At 40.5% G+C, this 22,839-nt stretch overlaps 1 protein-coding gene across 5 annotated transcripts in view, besides 1 other annotated feature; it reads left to right on the top strand.

The window, feature by feature from the left end:
• Positions 1-22,839, top strand: part of STARD13 (StAR related lipid transfer domain containing 13) — a 573,658-nt gene that overhangs the window by 282,228 nt on the left and 268,591 nt on the right. The gene's annotated exons all lie outside the window — the stretch shown is intronic.
• Positions 6,379-6,458: an enhancer, noted in NCBI's record as "active region_7579". NCBI's record gives its function as "activates an Ori minimal core promoter by ATAC-STARR-seq in GM12878 lymphoblastoid cells {active_cell/tissue: GM12878}" and the evidence as "EXISTENCE:reporter gene assay evidence [ECO:0000049][PMID:35858748]".

Below are 22,839 nucleotides of genomic sequence, written 5' to 3'. Positions count from 1 at the left end.
AATTACATAGATAATGTGACTGTCCCCTAGGCCCTAGCAGATCCAGGCAGAGAGAGGATCATGATTTCATGTTCTGGAGCAGGGCTGTCCAATACAACTGGCTGCAATGATGGGAATTCTTCTGCACTGTCAAATATGATAGCCACAGGCCACATAGGGTCATTGAGTATTTGAAGTTTAGCTAGTGTGATGGAGGAAATGAATTTTTAATTTCTTTTTATTTTAGTCTAAATATACTTTAAATAGCTACATGTGGACAGTGGTTACCACACTGAACAGTGCAATTCTGGAATTTTCATAGGCTTATAGACCCATTCATAGGACTATTATCCCAGGGATAGTTGATAGAAAAAAAAAAAGGAATAATAATGTAAAAGGAGACAATGGGCCATAAAAATTAAAGGACTAACAGAGTAATATGGTTGTGAGAATTATTTTCTTTTTCTAATCTTTCAGGATGTTCATATTGTATTTTAAAGGTTCTACAGCCTTTCTTTACTATGCAAGTTCTGTTGCTCTAAAACAGTAGTCTTAATTTTATATAATAATTTCCTTATGCCTTTATATATGTCCTTCAAGGAGAGAACATGCATTAAATTATAGTGAGCTTGTGATTGAACTACTCGGTAAAATGCTAGACAAGAAAGATCATTTTAGAGGAATATGTGAAAACAGAAGTTATGCCTGAATGAATTGTTAGCATTTGTTATCATTATAATAAGGAAGGTAATTCACTGTGGAAGTCAAAGCACAATGTGGGTATCCAATAGACCTTGGTCAAGTTATTTAATCTGAGTTTCACAACTTCCTATTTTGTCAAATAGTATGCACCCCAGTAAGAGAATTTATATGAAACCTTTAGCTTAGTGTCTGGCACCGAATAAAATATGTAAATGTCATTTGGTAGTATTAGTATCAAATGAGTATTACTCTGATCATGATTATTATATTATCATTTTATTAGTATTCTCATTGATAGAGAATTTTAGTTGACAAAGTACTTTCAGAACATAATCTCATTTGACCCTCTGAGCAGCCCTCAAAGGCAGGCAGATAATCCCACTTTATAAAAGAAAACTGAGATTGTCAGACTTTAAGAAACCTGCCAAGTACCAAAAGATTGGAGCTATCTACCGATGCCATAACCCATACGCAGCCCACTACACCATGCTGACATTGCTTTTGGTAATCACGTTGCTGCCTTTTTAGCTATGCTAGTCAATTCATTTTTTTCATCTCCAAATGCTTAATCTAACCTGGGTTTTTGCATCCATTCCTGCTTCCCAGGAATGCCCTCCCCTAGAGCTGCCTCTCTTTCCAGCCACACTCAGCTATTTTGTTTTTAATTTTTCTTATGTGTTAGGTGAGCAATGCTTCATAATATGCAGTAGTGGCTTGTGTAAGCATTGGCAAATAAATTTTTCAAACTACTCTTATCCATAGCCAAGAGCAAACACCTAAGATTTATCTCTGAAAAGCCAGGCCAGCATTTAAATCTGGAGTTCAACAAATGCGTCTTTGTTTCAGTTGATCTTGACATCAGTTATAAAAGTTCTTAGGCATCTGCCAAGAGTCTTTGCCGTATTGTACCTTACAAGTAAGAGACAAAGGGCTTTGGAGTAATTAAACAAAGCGCAATTCTACATTTTGTTTACTCAAGACTCTATCCTATATTTTTCATGCCAGCAATACTTAAATGGAAGTTAGTTGAAAGGTGACCCACATGAGGCTTAGAGAATTAGACTCCCAGTCCACATTCAAAAAGTGTTTCTGCCAGTGCATATTAGGGGATATTAAGAAGATATTTCTCTTCTTAATTAGGCAGAATACAATGATGTGATAGAATAAATGTAGAACTTGATTACCAGGCCGGGCACAGTGGCTCACACCTGTAATCCTAGTACTTTGGGAGGCTGAGGCGGGCAGATCACCTGAGGTCAGGAGTTTGAAACCAGCCCGGCCAACATGGTGAAACCCCTTTTCTACTAAAAGAACAAAAATTAGCTGGGTGTGGTGGCACATGCCTGTAGTCCCAGCTACTTGGGAGACTGAGGCAGTAGAATCACTTGAATCCAGGAGACGGAGGTTGCAGTGAGCTGAGATAGCGCCACTGCACTCCAGCCTGGGCGACAGAGTGAGACTCTGTTTCAAAAAAAAGAAGTTGATGACCACATTCATTCCACCTCATCGGATCAAATATGAAGATATGGCCAAATCAACATGGCATCCTTCACATCCAAAGGCAATATGAGTGTCTTCATCCTCTATAATATTTTCCCATCCACACATCCAGCCTGCTGGGCATGGGGTCACCAGGCATGAACACTTAGCAAAGAACGCACATGGGCAAACACAACAAGGTTGCAAGAAAAACAAGGTGGAGAAGCAAAGCATATTATAGGACCCTAGGGGCCCTCTGTGCATTTTAACTTCTGATTAATAATTGTGAGCTAGATTACGAATCTGCAGGATGTCTATACAATCTTAAGCAACTGAATTTCTCTCTCTGTTTCACCACCTGCAAAACGAAGAAGTTGAGGGAAGAATTTACGCCACAGAATCAAGTAACAGTGCTGCTAAAGCCCTCTGCAGCAATAATATTCTAGGATATTATATCACGGAGCTTTTCCAAAAGGCAGTCATTTCACTCTTCTCTGAGTTCTTTCCAAAAAATCATAAGTATTGCAAATCTTTCTTTGGTATCCCATCAAGAGGCCTCTTCCATGTGGCAGGAAGGTGTTTCCTCTGAAGCAGGGCAAACTCTGAAGGCCACTGGCAGTCCCACTGAGAGATTGCTCGAGAGATCACAGCCCCATGCAGAGAAGAGTCATCAGTAATGATGTGGTGAGCACATTTTGACGCAAAGCTGACAACATATGGCCTCTGCTCCCCGGCTGATTTCCTGAGCTGTCCTAAGTGTCTTTACCAAAACACTCCTTCTTCCATCATTTGTGAAGCCCACCTAACGGTCATTTATAACTGATTCTGTCACGTCCATAATAAGCTGCCTAGATGTATTAAGATTCTTAAGAAATGTTTCCAAATTATGTGTTAAAGTAATATGTGGTGTGATTGTCTTGTATATCAGCCTTGTGTATACTGGGGACATTTATCTCACTAAAGCAACACTGCTCTTGCAACCTTGATTTACGGTAAATGTTCCTACTTGCAAAGCAAAACACCTTGAATCCGATTTTAAAACAAATTGCACACATTTCAATCAGCCATGATTTTGGTAAATGCAGTGAATGTTAAAAGACAGAACATATACCACATGATCTGCTTATTTTGAAGGGTTTCGTCTTGCTGATTGTCAATATCGTTGGCTCTGCTTTTCACTACCTAGAGCACACAATCACAATGTTAAACCTGATCTAAATTGTTTTCCATTTCTTAAGATGCAGTCACTTGTTTTAAAATAAAATGAAGTTTTGTATTCTTGGTGAATTTTCTTAACAATAATTAATGATGTTTTCTTGTTATATTTTTGTGATAACCCAGACTCTGATGTTTTCTAGTCAATAAGAAGGGAAAATCCTTTCTGTGACACACATACTTTAAGAAGCAACCAGCTGAATTGTTACCAGAATTCAAGTGCTGCCTGATAAAATCAGTATGTCCTGTTAAAGAAAGACAGAAGTAGGAACCAGTCCATGAAACTGCACCTGAAAATATGATATATAAACTTATCTAGAGGAGAAAAGGGACACAGAGATTTTTAACGATGCATCTAGAGTAGTTCTCCTTCTGGCCCAGTGTGCAAAATGTAAAGAACTCTTGCATCTTAATGACGGATAGGGTTTTCTAGCCACTAGTATGATATTCACCAGAGATAAAGCCTGCATTATTCTCTAAAGGAGCTAGAATGGGAGCTCGCTCTCTTCCTGGACCAGGAATAACAACTCTCTCTTCATACTTGACCATAGCATTCCTGACACAAAGTGTGTGTCCTGAGTTATATTTCCAATAGTGATGTTAGATTTGCATTCATTTATTTTTGCCCTCTTATTTCTTCTTTGTAACAAATGATACAAATTTATGAAGAGGTTGGAGCTCCCAGTGCCCTCTGTCATTCTCAAGTAGAGTAAAGCTTGCGCTGCAAAACAAGATAGAGCTGGTGCTCTTGGAATTCCTAGTAACTTGTTCTAACAAAGTCAGGTGTTCCAGGGAGCTGGGTAGCAAAACTCAAGTTCTATTAAAACACCAGGTTGATGGTAAACATATCCTAAGGCAATTGACCCATGTCACTCTTGGGCAAAGCAACATAAAAGCCAGAGAACAGTCTTTGGTTCAGATTTCAGAACTGAAGTTAATCTCAACAATTCTAGCTTTTATAAAATTATCAAAGATGAGAATACTTTTTTCTTATATTTATTAATAGCTTGCATACCTTTGCTCATAAAGTAAGTACTAAAGACATACTTTTAATTGAATTTTCTGGGTGTTTTACCTTTTCCAGACCCTAGCATCTTTTCTTCTAATCTAGATTCCACAGGCACCAATGACGGTATGAAATTTTGCTGCTGAAAATGGCCTCCATATCTCTATTTTATCCTTGCACGAAAGAAGGGTGGATCATTCTCATTTCTGTTTCTTCAACTGATATTTTAAAATAAGATGAGAAAATAAGTCAGACTTCTAGCAGTGTAGCTTTAAAAACCCTTTGAATTACTTCCAGACTTGTGAAGATACTGAGGTCAAAATTACAGGATATTCTTGCTTCCTAAGCATAATTACAGATTACCTTACACTCAAACATAATAAACGAAGATAAATGAGATGAAATTAATGTAGTAAATTCATTTTAATTGCAATTGGCATAATTATTAGATTATATGACCATGTAATATAAATTTAATGGAAGTAAACTTTTAAATTTTATTTATGCACTTAGAAGTAATTAAATGTGAATGAACAATGTGACTATAAGAATAATTAATTTCTCATGTGAATTAATTAAGGGTGTTTTTAAAATGTTCTCTGTAGTTTACGATAGAAAAAAGATTGTAAACCCATATTATTACAGTATAGCAGGCAAATAAATAGCTGAAAATGGTAGATGATGGAGAGGATGCAGTGAGAAGCAATTTGCACCTGGCCTGGCCCAGCTCACTCCCTCGCTCCTCCACCAGAAGGTTTCTCTGCTTTCCTCCACCACAGTTCCTCCCACCATAGCTCTCTCAAATGATGGGAGAAAGGACCCTTTCCCTCCTCAAACTGTTCAATTAGTGGGTTCATTCTTCCTTACATACCAGTTTCACATACCTTATGTACTGGGTGTTGTCTTAGGAGGACCACTAACCTCAAGAGGCTGGGTGCGGTGGCTCAAGCCTGTAATCCCAGCACTTTGGGAGGCCAAGGCAGGCAGATCACCTGAGGTCAGGAGGTCGAGACCAGACTGGCCAACATGGTGAAATCCCATCTCTACTAAAAATACAAAAAAATTAGCCAGACGTGGTGGTTGGCACCTATAATCCCAGCTACTTGGGAGGCTGAGGCAGGAGAATCGCTTGAACCTGGGAGGCAGAGGTTGCAGTGAGCCAAGGTTGCACCATAGCACTCCAGCCTGGGCAACAAGAACGAAACTTCATCTCAAAAAAAAAAAAAAAAAAGAAGGACCCCTAACCTCAAGGACTGAAGGATTGATGAGGCAAAGATGTAAAGAGTCAGCGAGGTACTAGGAGCTCAGGACACTGAAGTCACAAGGCACCGGCAGCAACACTGACACAATGCTCAATGCCTCCCATATAAGGCTACTGAGATTAGGTTTGATCTTAGAGTCTGGGACAGATCTCAGCCTGCTAATCTGAGTAACGTTGGTGTGGCTGCCAGGCTGCTAGACAGAGAACCAAGTAGGTAATTTCAGGTCCATAGGCTTGTGCAAGTCAGAGGATAGGGCGTGTCTACAAAGGGGAATTAGCAATGCAGGGCAGCAGCTTACTGACTTCCAAATGGATGACAACATTCTAGAAGAGATGTGACTTAGCTGAACTCTGAAGCCAGATTCCTCCTTTGTGGGTATGTACTCAGCTTGGGCCCCAACTTCTATAGGCTTTGAGCAACAATCCCAGCAGCTAAAGAGCTCCTCCAAATCCACACAGAGCTGCCTCTGCAGGGTGTGGCCCTGCGGTTAGACCTGTGCGTGACTGCACTGCCCTGGCCCTTTAACTTTGCCCATCCACTAAGATATTATGCCTCTGCTGGTGGATAAAGGCAAGCACAAACTGGCCTCTTCTAGGCAGTCACTCTTGATCTCTGGCTACTTGCTCTAAACCTGGTCGTTTTTGCTCAGTTTTCCTTTAGTTCTCAGAACCTCAGTCTTGATGTCTGTTTTCAGTTCCTACTGTTCACCAAGCCATTAGATTTGTCTGGGGCTTGGTGGACCACAGCTTTCAACTCCTGTTGGCTCTGCTCGCCTCCTAATTTTAACGCCTCTGGTGGTTGGGGAAGAGAAACTCTATGTTGCAGTCCCCACCTTATAGAAAGGCACCATTGAACTCTAGCTCCCCTCATACCCTTCACTTTTGTCCTTTTCCCCTTCCCAGCTTCTTAGCCCAGGACACTCATGTGCTTACAGAGGAAAGACCACCATATGGCCGATGCATCTGAAAGCAATAATTTAACTGAGGCATAGCCCAAGAATGACCCTGTGGTCTAAGGAGAGTGTGTGTTTGGAGTCCCAAGCTAAAGAATCTGGGAGCGGCCAATCTGGAGTTTCACTCCTTGTCCATGAAGGACATCTGGACCCCAGTCCCATCCTTTGAAACACAGGCTATACAGGGGATAGAGGCCCTTGGTGCTGGGTTAAATGGAGGTTGCTAGGTGGAAGGTGCTAAGTGAAAATGTTATACTAACATCAGGCTTTTTACCATCAGTAGCGGTACTCCTGTCCAGCCTGCTGCCACTGCACTGTCCCTGTCTGTAAATTCCCCAATAAACCTTATATCTCGTTCACTCTCTCCAGATCTCTTCTTCAACCTCTTGGACTCATGCCATCCCTATTGGAGTGAATAGGGGTCCAGCATAACAACCACTTAAACACAGACTGGGCAGTACAGGGGAGTGCATCCTTGACTGTGGACTCCTTGAGACAAGTCACCACGGTTTTTTGTTTTGTTTTGAATCCCCAGCACTTAGCACAGGGCCAGCAAACATGGGCACAGACTAGAATGTTTCTGTTCATTATAACCCCATGATAAAGCACAACCACTTTAGTCAGTTTCACCTGAGATTCCCTACTATTGAGATGAAAACATTACGCACAGCTGGTCTCAGTGGCGCACTTCTGTAATCCCAGCAACTTAGGAGCTGAAGTGGGAGGATTGCATGAGGCCAGAAGTTCAAGACCAGCATGGGCAATATAGCACAATCCAATCTCTAAAACTAAAAATAAATTAGCTAGGCATAGTGATGCATACCTCTAGTCCTAGCTACTGGAGAGGCTGAAGTGGGAGTATCACTTGAGCCCAGGAGTTCAAGGCTGCAGTGAGCTATAGTTGCACTACTGCACTTCATCCTGGGCAACAGAAACCCCATCTCTAAAGAAAGAAAATTAGGTGACATGTCCCTCCACCTGTCAACCCAACCAAACCAAGATATTAGCAGGCCTATGCAGAATTGGCAAAGAAGGTTGTAAAAATCCCTGTCTGTTCTCAGCCCATCAGCCACCTCGAAATTTTAAAAAAGTTTAAATTAAGGTAGAAGAGTGAGGAGGGCAGGTCTGTTCTTGGTGGAGCAGTCAATATGCTGGGCTTTCTCTCACCCCAAGTCAGATAAGGGGCCCCCAGGATTCCAGTGCCACAAGAGAACCAGAGAACTTGGCGTATATTTTCTGGACTTTGGAGGGCCCAGGAAATGGTGACTTCTGGAAACATAAAGGCAAAAAGGCTCTGCCTTGGTCTACCTGCCATGATGAGAGAACAGAAAGAGACACTAGGAGGAAACCCCTCCTACTAATGGCAGTGGGCACACGTCCCTTAGTTCCAGGCTGCACGTCGACCCCCCCAGAGGAGGTCACCTTGAGAATTGCCTGTTGGGACCTGGATGGGGGAGGCCACCACACACCCAGGGCTGAGAAAGAACCCCAGCAATGTGCCCTCCTGGAGAAGAATCAGCCTTGGGAATTTACCATACCTGGAGGGTGACCATATGGAGCTCATGTGACCCGCTAGCTCAGCATGTAAGACATTTTCTCTTCCTGGAGCCCCTGAGGAAGGCAGGGTGATTTAACAAGAGCAGGGTAGGGGAGAAAGGGGAAACTGAAGAGCAAGAAAACCTTGAATCTTGGATCCAATTTGAAGCTTTTTATAATTACAGTGGACTGGATATTTCAATTATGAAAATGAGGTTGTCCTTAGGACCAAATGTGACCAGGTTACTTTTAATTAGCTATGTGAATCAAAGAACCATGGCACTTGGGTTTTCATCCAGGGTGAGGAACAAATGGTTCACAGGGAGGGTTTCAAGACAAAATGTTGAAAAAGAGAGTGAAGCTGCTTTGTGTTTGCATGCAGTTGAATTCAGCTGATATCAACATACCTGATGAATAAATAATGAATTGATGAGCAAATGAATAAACGCAAGCAAGGAAATAATTGCAAATTTAGTATTATTACTCTTATTACTCAATTTGACTCACACATTAGGCTTAAGTTTAAGCTTTTTAAATTTTATTTTTATTTAATTTTAATTTTTTTTTTTTTGTTTTTTTTTTTTTGAGACAGAGTCTTGCTCTGCTGCCCAGGCTGGAGTGCAGTGGCACAATCTCGGCTCACTGCAACCCGGACTCAAGTGATTCTCCTGCCTCAGCCTCCCAAGTAGCTGGGACTACAGGCATGCACCACCACGCCCAGCTAATTTTTGTAGTTTTAGTAGAGACAGGGTTTCACCACGTTGGCAAGGCTGGTCACAAACTCCTGACCTCAGGTGATCCGCCCTCCTCGGTCTCCCAAAGTGCTGAGATTACAGGCGTGAGCCACCGCGCCCAGCCAAGTTAAGCTTTTAGAATCTAGTTATCTGGTTTACCCTTCTCATTCCCCTTTATCTCTGCTCTTAAACAGGTAAAAATGCTGGTCATTTTTTTTTTTTTTTTTTTTTTTTACCATTCTGGGCAAATACTCTTTTACTCAGTTACCAGTTCCTCTGGCTTCTGCTTTCCTATTTTTCTGATCAATTTTACTTTTTTCCTGTGCTCACAGTTTAGGACAGCTGTACCAAATAGGCACTTTGCCTTTTTTTCATTTTGAAAACTTTCTTACTTTGACACTCTATGGATGCATCTAAGAGCAATTTCCCTTTCTGTTTTCTACATATATATATATATATATATATATATATATATATATATATTCCGAACCTTTCTTCCAAACCAAAAATCTGGATTTCCAAGGTGTGTTGAAACTATTATCAACCCAGACATGCATATATATATATATATATATTCCGAACCTTTCTTCCAAACTAAAAATCTGGATTTCCAAGGTGTGTTGAAACTATTATCAATCCAGACATGCATGTGTATATATATATATTCCGAACCTTTCTTCCAAACTAAAAATCTGGATTTCCAAGGTGTGTTGAAACTATTATCAACCCAGACATGATTCAGGAAAAAGATTATGTATATTCTTTGGAGTCTCTTTCTATTCTCTGCCATCATTTTGGTTCCATATGTAGGTCATCTGCTCTCTGCTAGTTTACCACCCATGCTCTTCCCATGGAGCCCTGGGCACATTTAACTAAGTCCCTCCTTGCTCAGCATGCAGTCTTTTTTGAGGGTAGAGGTGGGTGGAGTAAGGATTAAGGAGATGGGCAGGATATGAGTACCACAGTGGATGAAGAGATCAAAGAGTTTGAGGACTACATTTCTGTAGAACACGGTGGGTGTCATTAACTAAACCATTAGAGTAGTTTCAATACTCTGTACTTTGAGTCCTTATTCTACAATTCAAATTAGTATATTCTATTTTTATGCTAATTCACTGTTGTACTACTCTACTTCCAGGATTATTTACTTTTGTGCTACAGTACATAACTGCTACATTTTAAAGTTCATTGCAGCTTATTAATATTAAATGACGTGATTCAAAAGCATTTGCTTTCTCGGGCCAGTGGACACAGAGTACTCTTAAGATGCATTAAAATATGGATTGGTCAGTGTTTAACAAACCCTACTGAGTGGTTTCTGTGATTTAACAGTCAGCTTCCCGGACTCTTAGCTTGGCTGGCAACATGACAGTGCTTTAACCATTGATTTAGAAACTGAAGAGAAGGATTTCCGTTCAACAGCCACCAAGTAATAAACAGCAGGGTTAAAGCTAAAGGAAGAAGCTACCTAGTTGTTATTATTGGTTGTTAGATTCAAAGCAATGTCACTGTTCCTTTTATCTGAGTACAGCCTGTGATCAGACCTCATTGTACAAGACACTGTCCTTAAGCCTTAGTTATCTTTGCTGTAGAGCTGGGCTAGCCAACCAAGTTGCTCTCCCAGGGATAATTTATCTTGCAGGTGACACATTAAATAGAACCACGCAATCAAAGTTTGAATTCTAGCCTTCTGTTGTCTTGGTTGGTCAGGCTAAATTAATAATCGAACCTGGTGCCCTTGAACGAGCTCCCTGCTGTATACATTTAGCTGGCCAAACCACTTCCCCTCCCCCGACACTCCACCTCCTCATGGATGAAAACTTCTGGTAGAAAAACAAACTCACGAAGGAGAAAAGTACCAGGTGCATGAGACATGCAGATGACTAGAAAGGGAATGTGCAGCTTCGTGTTCGTGTTTCTTTTTTTTTTTTTTTTTTTTTTTTTTTTGAGACAGTCTCACTCCGTTTCTCAGACTGGAGTGTAATGGCACAATTTCAGCTCACTGCAACCTGTGCCTCCCAGGTTCAAGCAATTCTTCTGCCTCAGCCTCCCAAGTAGCTGGGATTACAGGTGCATGCCACCATGCCCTGCCAATTTTTTTCTTTTTTTTTTGTATTTTTAGTAGAGATGGGGTTTTGCCACGTTGGCCAGCCTGGTCTCAAACTTCTGATCTTAGGTGATCCACCTGCCTTGGCCTCCCAAAGTGCTGGGATTACAGGTGTGAGCCACTGCACCCAGCCACAGCTTTGTATTTCAAATCAAACACTGACTGTGTGCCAGTTACACTGGTCCCTGCAGAAGCCATTGCCAGACCTTTTTTTTTGACACAGGGTCTCACATTGTTGCCCAGGTGGGAGTTCACTGCAGCCTCGACCTTTTAGCCTCAAGCGATTCTCCTGCCTGGGACTCCCAAAGTGCTGGGATTACAGACATGAGCCACTGTGGCCAGCCTTACTGCCAGATTCTTCTCCGTGTGTAGTATTCCGTGGTAAACTCAGCCTCAAAGGAAGCATACGCTACCCATGTGGCATGTCTGTGAGACAAAGAAAGGGAAATAGTGGGAGAAACATGAAATGTCTTATGAGGGAATCTAAATAAATTTTGAAAGTTTGATTTCCAATATTTCATTTTTCAATTTATAATGGAAGCTCTAACTAGATGTTACCCACCATCCCAGACCAGCCCAGACCCACTAGGCCAAAAATATTTAAAGTATGTAAATGCCAATTATGTTGCGTATATAAATAAAGTACTGCCTGGAAGCTAGATATCATGGAATGATACTAAAGGCAGTTAAGTTTACGTTGTTCACTAATTATAATAGTAATAGCTAATATTTATTTAGCTATCAACAGAATAGCTAAATCATAGGAATACCATTTTTCTATAATGCTTATCGGTGGAAGAGCATTTATTTCTTATCAGTGTTACCAATGTAATCATGTTCTTCTGTAATTTCAAACATAAGATAGCCTATTTGTTACCAATGGAATCGCATTTTTCTGTAATTTCAAATGAGGCCTAGGCTATAGCCAATATATGTAGAGTCACAATTTCTACTCTCTTAAATTATGGCCTTTTAGAGTTCTTGAATCCATGTTTATTTGTTTACTTAACATTTGTGTGCTGGATGCTACAATGCAATATCGAGCAGAATCAGGGTCCCTCCCTTCATAGATTTCAGAGCCTACTGAAAGGACCAACAGTAAACAAATAACCACATAAATAAACTTACAATTACAGATGATATCAATGCTAAGTAGGAAGAGATACATGGCATCCCGAGAGTTGATATCAGCGATCTGCCCAGTGTGGGGAGGGTCTAGGAGAAGTGGCATTTCAGCTGAGGACAGTGGAGAGTAGGAGTTACCTGTGGGGAGGGGACAGGGCACAGCACCGCAAAAGCCCTGGATGCCAGGGAGATTCGGCACAACTTCTATAACTGGATTGACTTAACTTGAAATGTAATTTGCTCGAAAGAAATTAAAATTAAAATTCAGGGCAAGTGACCTGAAGTTACCCAACAGAACACAGAACATCAGATAATTCCACTAAGAACATTCAATTCTGCATGACTCAGTGCCTGCAAGGTATGCCATGCTTCGTTTATGATGGCAGCGTAGCCTGGTCTCCTGGTCTATGCGTTTGCGCTAGGAGCCAAGAAGATCTTCAGCTTATGGAGTTCATGTGACCATCCCATCCTTTGTGGCCATGGACAAGTCAGTTCCGTCTCTGTAGGAAACTTAAAGGACAAGCCCTAGAGGGGGCAGGTGTGGGAAATTATTGGATGGTATTTTGACTTTGATGTATCATTATGCAAAACCATATCGAGGAATGAATTATTCATATTCCAAGAAATAATATTGAAAACACTTGAAAGTAATTAAAGAAGCAGATCCTTAATATATAATCAAGGAATTTTTTATGTTTTAATTTATTTTTAGTTTTATTTTTTTATTTTTGAGAGGGAGTCTCACTCTGTCACCCAGGCTGGAGTGCAGTGGCACAATCTCAGCTCACTGCAACCTCCGCCTCCTGGGTTCAAGCGATTCTCCTGCCTCAGGCTCCTGGGTAGCTGAGATTACAGGCGCCTGCCACCACGCCTGGCTAATTTTTGTGTTTCAGTAGAGAGGGGGGTTTCATCATGTTGGTCAGGCTGGTCTCGAACTCCTGACCTCAAATGGTCAGCCCACCTCGGCCTCCCAAAGTGCTGAGATTACAGGCATGAGCTACCGTGCCCAGCCAAGGAATTATAATTTCTAAAATTCTATGAGCATTTTCTTCTGAATGCTTTTCTGAATATGTAATGTATGTGCCCATATGTATATAGCCTCTCCTGGGTCACACCCTTATTGCCTATTAGCATAAGTCAACTGTGAAGCGTTTAATAGGCGTTTTGTAGGGGGTAGGGAGCAAAAAAATTCAATGGTTAAATAAATTTAATGAAGATTGGAGTAAGCAAATAGATTTTCTTACTGCCAAAGTGGTCAAAGTGTTTAATATTTTTATATTAGTCTAAATTGTAAAATTCTGATAAGGTAATATAATATTTGGCATCTACTAAATTTATTTTCTCAGAGGACATTTGTTCCCTCAAATATACATTCCTCAGAACATAGCATTCCTATATACTCGTAGAGGTGATCTAAAATTAGAAAAAAGTCAGTCAGTGATATTTTTGCTTCTAGAATTTGTTCCTACCTCATTGCCTTTGTGATTATGTCTACAATTCTGGGCCAGGCCTGTAAGACCATTCACTGTCTGGACTCAATCCAATTCTGTCTGCCATGCCATGCTGTGCCACCCTTGCCCCTGCACTTTATGCTCCAGACACACTGACCTTCTCCTTCTCCCTCACCTTGAACACACCCCCCTTCCCCACCTGAACCTGGCACGGGTACCCTCTGGTTGGAAAGGCCTAGCCTGCTCTACACCTCTCTGCCTGAGCCCCACTTTGGCTTGTCAATTGCCTGTTTGTTCTTCAAGGTCTAGTTCAAATAGCTTCTCTGGGAACTTTGTTCTTTCTTCTCTGACAGCATTGACACCATTGTATTCTCTTGCATCTGTTTACCAGATCCTCTCCTGCCTCCCCCTTTGACTAATTTCTTGCTTCAGGGCCAGGGCAGAGACAGTTCCCTCGTTTGCATGCAGTCTTACCTAAGAAAGCACACAGAGGAAAGGTCTATACCAACTGGATGAACTTGAATTTGTGTGTGGGGGGGGTGGGGGGTGGGGGTGTGTGTGTGTGACGGTAGGGGTATTCTCCACCTTTTTTTTTTTTTTTTTTGAGACAGAATCCCGCTCAGTTGCCCAGGCTGGAGTGCAGTGGTGCAGTCTCAGCTCACTGTAACCTCTGATTCCAGGGCTCAAGCCATTCTCCTGCCTCAGCCTCCCAAGTAGCTGGGACTACAGGCGCCCGCCACCATGCCTGGCTAATTTTTGTATTTTTAGTAGAGACGGGGTTTCACCATGTTGGCCAGATTGGTCTTGAATTCACCACGTTGGTAAGGCTAGTCTTGAACTCCTCACCTCAGGTGATCCGCCCACCTCAGCTTCCCAAAATGCTGGGATTACAGGCATGAGCCACCGCGCCTGGCCTCCACATTTTAAGTAAAATAAATAAGTCAAACTATAAAACATCTGTCTGATAAGTAACTCTTCTCTGTCTTGCATGCATTTATTTTATCGCAAGAGTATTAAAATTATGTGTTTTTATGAGTCATGTCTGAGAACATTGTCCTTGAGTGCAGGGACCTTATCATATTCATTTTTCATCCTTAGCACTTAGCATAGATCTTGGCATTTAGTAAATGTCCAATAAATGATGCTCAAATTAAATGGAATCAAATCTTGCTCAGCTCTTTGCTGCCTTGTCACAGTAAAGTGACTAAGCAAGCATGTGAACCCTGGGATCAGAATGCCAGGTGTGAATCCCAGCTGGTCACCTGCTGTGTGACCTTGGGGAAGTTACTGAACTGTTTTGTTCTCTGTTTCCTTATCTGTAAAAGAGGATGTGAATATTGTCCACCTCCTGGGCCTGTTGTGAAGATTAAACTTATCTATATTTACATCCATTTCTACATCAGTATTATCTATTTATTTTAATTATACAAAGTGTCTTTCTCATGCCTTCCCAGTGAGAGAACAGGCAATTAAATGTTGTGATATACAAACAGAAAACCTCCTACCCTTCTAAGTCCTATTAAATGTCAAATCAGAGATGGGGTCATGTCAATAAAGGAGCTACCAGAACAAACATGAAAGTATAATTTACATTATGCATTATAATCCTTCCAATTAAAACCCCCATTGTAAAGAGATCTGATTTCTAACCTTTTAAATATTGTTATATGGCTTTTATGAAAAATTCTGCAAATGTCAGGAAAAAATACTATAGGGTGTATTTTTAATGTGGACTATTTTACAAGGTGCTTTCAAACATATGATAGGATATCTTAGTCTAATTGTCATAAGAGCTCTCTAAGGAAAATCAGATCCAGTTTTATAGTCCATTTGAGCTGATGGTACAAAAAAGTGACAGTTAAGATCAAGTACACTACATGTCAGATCACGTTTCTTGTTTTTTTATTTTGAGATAGGGTATTATTCTGTTGCCCAGGCTGGAGTGCAGTGGCGTGATCTCAGCTCACCACAGCCTCGACTTCCCAGGCTCAAGAGATCCTCTCACCTCAGCCTCCCTGGTAGCTGGGACCACAGGCAAATGCCATCACACCTGGCTAATTTTTGTATTTTTGGTAGAGACGGGGCTCCACCATGTTGCCCAGGCTGATCTCGAACTCCTGGGCTCAAGCTATCTGCCTGCCTCAGCCTCCCAAAGTCCTAGGATTACAAGTGTGAGCCACCACGCCCAGCCTATGTTTCTTTTTTTCTTTTTTTTTTTTTTGTTTTTTTGAGTCAGAGTCTCACTCTGTCACCCAGGCTAGAGTGCAGTGGTGCCATCTCAGCTCACTGCAACCTCTGCCTCCTGGGTTCAAGCAATTCTCCTGCCTCAGCCTCCCAAGTAGCTGGGACTACAGGCGCCCGCCACCACACTCGGCTGATTTTTTGTATTTTTAGTAGAGACGGGGTTTCACCATATTGGCCAGGCTGGTCTCGAACTCCTGACCTCGTGATCCGCCCGCCTCGGCCTCTCAAAGTGCTGGGATTACAGGCGTGAGCCACTGCGCCCGACCACGCCTGGCCTATGTTTCTAATAAGAAGTGCAGGTTTTCAGAGAATGGAATTATTCCTGAGAACCACAGCAAGTCAAGGTGTAGTGGAGGAGATGGGGCTCCAGGTGGGCCTTGGAAGGTAAGACTAATGCAGGTGGGAAGAGGAGAAAGGGCATGAGGACAGGGAGAGCAAAGGTGCAGAGGGTGGAAAGCATTTGGTATGTTTGGGGTGACAGCTCCCTGTGTGGCACAGTGGACGTTCAGCCTGGCCTTGGGAGTGGAGTCTCAGCTGGTCTCAGTAGGGAGTGGGGGTGCTGAAATGCCAGGGCTTCAGGGCTTGCTTGCTTTGCCAGTTTTAAGTTTAACCACCCACTTCCCTGAGAACACCACTGGCTAACTTGCTGCATGAATTACAAGTATGATAACCAAGGAAACTCTGGAGACCCCCCTTTAAAATAAACTTGGCTCAATTGCTTCACTGGACAAATAGTAACTAATACCAGCATTGTCCCAGGGCTGTAAAAGTAGCCATCCAGCCACTAAGAAATTACCCAACATTCCTACCAGAATTGTATTGGCTATTGTGAATGGCTTTAATAACAGGACCTTGTTCATTTGGTTTTTAGATAGGTTATTACTGATTTACCCATTCAATCAATTCCTGTTTTCCTCTGCTGGGTGTAAAAACTGCTCCCAGCCCCAACCTCTGGGTTTAGGACAAGGGAAAAACAAAAAAGGACTACATTATAACCCAGAAGGTGATCACACACCTTCCTGCTCTAAGTGTAGGCTTTTCTATTGTGATATGGATTATCCAGGAATATTATATCATCTTCCCTAAAAGCATTAAAAATAGGATGCATTCTCATCCTCTGTAAGTGGAGCTTGCGTGGTTGTGTGTGTGTGTGTGTCCTGGGGGAGATGAGAGTATAAGCGGGGGTGGGGGAGAATAATTTAAATGCTCTGCTAAGATTTCATTTAGTCCCATGAGTCTACGATAACATTTTTCTGTCATCATGCAAAGATCAATAGAATTAATAAGAATAACAGTTGTAGTACCGACAATTCTGGATAGATAAAAGACCTTTGACCTTCCAGAGAAAATCCAGTATTTTTTCCATTCAGTATCATTAAAGTCACACACATACCTCTTATTACTTTCAGTATTTTTCCCAGATGTCTCTTCACATTCAAAAGAAGACACAAAGTAAAATTAAATGTTTTTTTTACCAGAACGTGGCTCTTGTTTGCTGCTTCAGATTTTTAAAGCACACAGGCATTATCTATAACCCATCCTCAGGGTAATCCTGTGAGGAAAAATATGTACTCATTATTGATGGAAAAGGAGATGCTTATAGCTTTTGCTTAATTTTGTTCCAAGCCTCTAGGAGCAATAACAACAAAATGATTGTTTTTACTAACAATAGAAAAAAATTGCATAAAATACATAAAACTATCTTAGAATAAATCGGACACCTTAAGAGTCTCAGTAAGTTTTTCTTATGTGCTGAATACCATGTAGCATCTTATTGACCAACCCCCAAGTACATGTTCATTCCTTCCCAAAGCCAACCCTCCTTTTCCCCACAGTGGCCCCAGGCCTGTCTTCTAGAACTCTCAGCAGCATTTGATATTGTTACTTGGAAGGCCCTTGACCTCCCTGCTTCCTTGGCTGTCATAGAGCAGTGTCCTGGTGCTTCTTTCACCTCCCTAACTTCTCCTTCTCAGGCTTACTGGCTCCTCATTCTGTCCCCTAAGCCTAGGCACTGCCCAAGGTCTCTTCTTTCTTTGGTCTCTGTCAGGGAGATATCTCACCCAATCCCAAAGCTTCATCCTTCCATAAAAATCCGTATCTATATCTAAATTGTCAGCTTCCTCCCTTTGAAATTCTAATCCTTTTTTTTTTTTAAAGATGGGGTCTGGCTATGTTGGTCAGGATAGAGTGTGGTGGGTATTCACAGGTTCAATCACAGCTCACTACAGCCATGAACTTCCAGGCTCAAGTGATCCTCAGCCTCCTGATTAGCTGGGACTATTAGGTGCCTGGCTAATCCTTCATTCTTGATTCTGTGCTTGACACTGCCCCAGCTGTAATTCTTGCACCTTCAACCTGCTGCCTTCCCATTTCCTCCTCCACCCCACTTCTAGAATGCGTAAGTACCCACTAAGTCATAAACTACAGGAGGACAAGGCTTTTTGTTGTTGTCATTTTTATTTAAACTTAGGTATCCTCAGCACTTTAGAACAGTACCTGGCATATAATTGACATTTGCAAAATACTGAATGAATGAATGAATGACTATCACTTCATCTCTACCCACTACAAACCAGCCTAACTCATCTTTATGTCCTGTTTGTCACCTGTGCTTAAAGCTAGGGTGTAGCTTTACACATTAAGCTTACATTAAGTAATATGGTCAAAACCATATTAAGTAATATGGTTTAAGTAATATGGTCAAACCATACTTAAGTAATATGGTCAAACCATATTTCTTTTCTATTACTTAAGTATGGTTTGACCATATTACTTAATATTAAGTACATTAAGTAATGTGGTCAAAACCAGTAAAGTATGGTCAAGTATGTTTTGACCATATTACTTAATATTAAGTATGTAAAGTAATGTGGTCAAAACCAGTCATATTACTTAATCAGCCAAACCAGGGCATTTTTTGGTGTGAAAGGGGGCTGATATGGTTGGCTGTGTCCCCTCCCTGCTAATAAAAACATACCTGAGACTGGGGAATTCATTTTGAATTGTAGTTCCCACAATCTCCACATGTCATGGGAGAGATCCAGTGGGAGGTAATTGACTCATGGGAGTGGTTACCTCCATGCTGTTTTCATGATAGTGAGTTCTCACGAAATCTGATGGTTTTATAAGGGGCTTTTCCTGCTCTTTGCTCAGCACTTCTCCTTGCTGCTGCCATGTGAAGAAGGATGTGTTTACTTCCCCTTCTGCCATGATTCTAAGTTTCCTGAGGCCTCCCCCAGCCCTGTTGAACTGTGAGTCAATTGAACCTCTTGCCTTTATAAACTACCCAGTCTCAGGTATGATTTTATTAGCAGGGTGAGAATGGACTAATAAAGGGGCACTATAAATAATTATGCTGGGATGACAGGCATAAACTTAACCTGATTGAATGTTTACCCTAATCATTAGCATTTTTTACTTTTCCTCCTCATCTATTCCCTTGCATTGTCAGCTGCCAAGACACACATCTGCCTTTGCACTGTCCCCTCACTTAGTCTTCCCTTTGCATTCTCACCCCTACTTGCCTCTTCAGGCTTCGGCACATCTGGATTGGTTTCTATTAACAGCCTCTTGACTGGTCCCCTGAGCCTAACCAGTCTCCCCAGTGTCTGTCTCTGCCCATTCTATTGCCACCTACACATGGCTGCTGGATCAATCTTCCTAAGGGATAGCATGAGTAATATAATTTCTCTACCCGGAAGAGTTTCACTGGTTCTTCACTAATTCTGAAATTCATACAAACTTGCAGCCTTTAAAACCTTCAATCTTGGGCCAGTCTAATTTGTAGGTATGGATTCTCAAGACATGAGTACTAAGAGTGGAATTGGCATCACCATTTCTAATAGGGGGCCTATTAGCAATAAAGAATTTTGGATTGTATATTAGAATCTATAGAATCAGAGTCTACAATTTAGCAAGATTCCCCAGTGATCTGTATAAAGACTAAAGTTTGACAAACACTGCTCTACACTGTAGCCTAACAAGGAGAAATCACAGCTCTAAAATCACCCCCAAGATTTTAGCTTCCATGCTTTGTTTGTATGGGTCACTTTTTGTAGGATACCTGCCCCCACCATCTCTATTCAGTAAAATTGCATTAATCTTCCAAAGATGAACTCCAGCAACTATATACTCCATGAAAAATTTCCTGTAACCCCTGAATATTATCTTTGCATCCCCTGAACACCATAGTATTTAATTTCTAGTGGCTTGCCGCTATCTCTCTTACCTTGAATTACAGATATTCTAGTACTAATTTTATACACACACTCATCTCCTCCTTACATTGTTAGCACAATATGGGTAGTTACATTTTTTATTGTGATAAAATATACGTAACATAAAATTTACCATTTTAACCATTTTAAGTATATAGTTCTTTGGCATTAAGCACATTTATATTGTTATGTAACCATCACCACTATCCATCTCCAGAACTTTTTCATTATCCCAGACTAAAACTTGTACTCATTAAACATCAAATTCCCATTCCCCAGCCCCTGGAAACCACCATTTCTACTTTTTGTCTGTATGAATTTGACAACTCTAAGTACCTCATACAAGTGGAATCATGTATTATTTTCCTTTTATGACTAGCTTATTTCACTTAGTATAATGTCTTCAAGGTTTATCAATGTTGTAACATGCACCAGAATTTCCTTCCTTTTAAAGGTTGAATAATATTTTACTGTAGGTATATACCACATTTTGCTTAATCATTCATCTATTGATGGACATTTGGGTTTCTTCCACATTTTGGTTCTTGTGCATAATGCAGTTATGGATATGTGTGTAAATATCTGTTTGAATCCCTGATTTCAATTATGTGGGGTATATATTCAGAAGTGGAATTGCTGGATCATATGGCAATTCATTTTTAATTATTTGAGCAACCTTTATACTGTTTTCCACAGTGGCTTTGCCATTCTACATTCCTGCCAGCAGTGTGAAGATTCCAATTTCTCTACATTCTCACCAACACTTATTTTCTATGTTTTTTTTTTAATAGTGTCCTAATGGTATAGGTCTGAGATGGTATTTCACTGTAGTTTTGAATCATATTTCCCTACTGATTGAAGATATTGAGCATCTTTTCATTGGCCATTTGTATATCTTATTGGCAGAAATATCTATTCAAATTCTTTGCCCATTTTTTAATTGGGTTGCTTGCTGTTGTTGAGTTTTAGGAATTCTTTATATGTGCTGAATATTAACCCTTATTAGATATGTAACTTGCAAATATTTCCTACCATATTGGCGTTTTTTCTCTGCAGTGTCCTTTCTTATAGGAACTGTTCAAAGAACAAATGAACTTAACTATAGTGCTTTCAAATGGTATCTAATCAATATTTATATTTTTTAATTTGAGTTGTTAAACGATGCTTAGTTAATGATTTATCACTGTGCTTAAATTTATGATGAAACCTGACTAAATGTAAATTAACTTTGCTTTAAAATTATTTTGGTCAAATCCAATGAGATCGGGGAATGCCAAATATAATTGTGAACAATTTCAGGCTTGAGCTCTGTTTGGGGTGCACAAAGGAAGCTTCAAAACATAGACTGACAATGCCCCATCATTGTCCTTAGATTTAAAATCTTAACACTTACACAGGGAGGCTCTGAATATTACTTGCTAGCATATGGCAAGAAAGAGATTAGAAATTATTTGTAGTACAGTTGGAGGAACATTTAAATTCCTGTTTTGTTAGGGCTTGTAGCATAATAAAAGTCAACTGAAAAATAGAAAGTAGCTCTGAAAGAAATAAACTTTCAGAGAAGTAAGGATGTTTATAAAAATTCAGACTGTACCCTGAAGCATGACCCCTGTTGGTCTTAATGTAATCAAATTCATCATTGATATGGCAGTAGCAAATGAGAAAAGCTAGTGGACATTTGTGGGGTAATAAAAACAAAAGGATAGTAAGTTATTTATTTTTTCTGAATTGTATTATTTGGCTAATTTATAGGCCAAGAAAACTACTAATAATAGCCATAACAATCCTGTCTCGGTTTTACTTTCTCACCCTCTGGCCTTTTTGCTTTGTGATTTATTTTCAGCTCAAGAACTTTCTACCACAAACTATCATTAGGCCACAGAGTCACATTGGTTGTCTATGGCTATAACCATGTGCCTTCTGTGGAATAGTTTAATGGGAATTCGGTTGGTTCATATTTGAAAGGATTACATAAAACCTCTTTGAATAATTAGCACAGCATCCCAACAAAGGGTTAGTTGATTTTTTTCCAATGAAAGGTCAGACAAGAGAAAGTCATTCAGAAGGCATACGAGATTGCTTTCCTGGGGTCATTTTCATTCTGAATTATGAAACAACTTCAAAGACATGAGTCGATCACTTAGTATTTTTTGGTACAAAACATTACTACTGAGTAACTGTAGTTCAATGACAACATCTTCACTGGATTAACATAAATGAGAGCTAATAATGGTGCATTCATGCACATATGTAGGTGTATTCAAAGGGTATGTGTGAGGACATTAGCCAGGGTCATACTTAGCCCTTCATTATGACTCCCTATTTACTCGACCCCTGACTTTATGATGAATGATCCATTTGGAATGAACTTTTTGTGCCCTTTCAGATATATGGAGGTTACATATATTCCCCGACTGCTTATGTCTAATACTTTAAACTTTTTTCTGGCTTTTGTAGACTCATTCACTAACCTTTGTTTTGAAGTGATTTGTCTGATTGCTTACATTAAAAGGGGTTACACATGAACAGAGATTCAGAGTGGGGAATCCATAGGCCCTCACACTTCTTTCTGATTGGTTGCTTGGTAAGTCGAAAATGTGGCAGGTATTTCTGAGATGCAATCAATTCTTTCAAGTTTCTTTGTCTGAGCTTTAATTGGAATTCAAACAGAAATAAATTTCATGATGACATTTTCCTAATTTCAGTTCTGAAATAGAAGAAATATGGTATTGTATAAAAACCTTGAATTGAAAAATGAGGAGTTCATGCATTAGGTATAAAACGTGTACCTGTAATTATATAACTTTAGAAAAGAGACCTCAGAGGGTCT

The sequence above is a fragment of the Homo sapiens genome, chromosome 13 (assembly GCF_000001405.40).
Source record: "Homo sapiens chromosome 13, GRCh38.p14 Primary Assembly".
Taxonomy (NCBI): Eukaryota; Metazoa; Chordata; class Mammalia; order Primates; family Hominidae; genus Homo; species Homo sapiens.
This window is presented reverse-complemented; position numbering and strand designations above follow the sequence as displayed.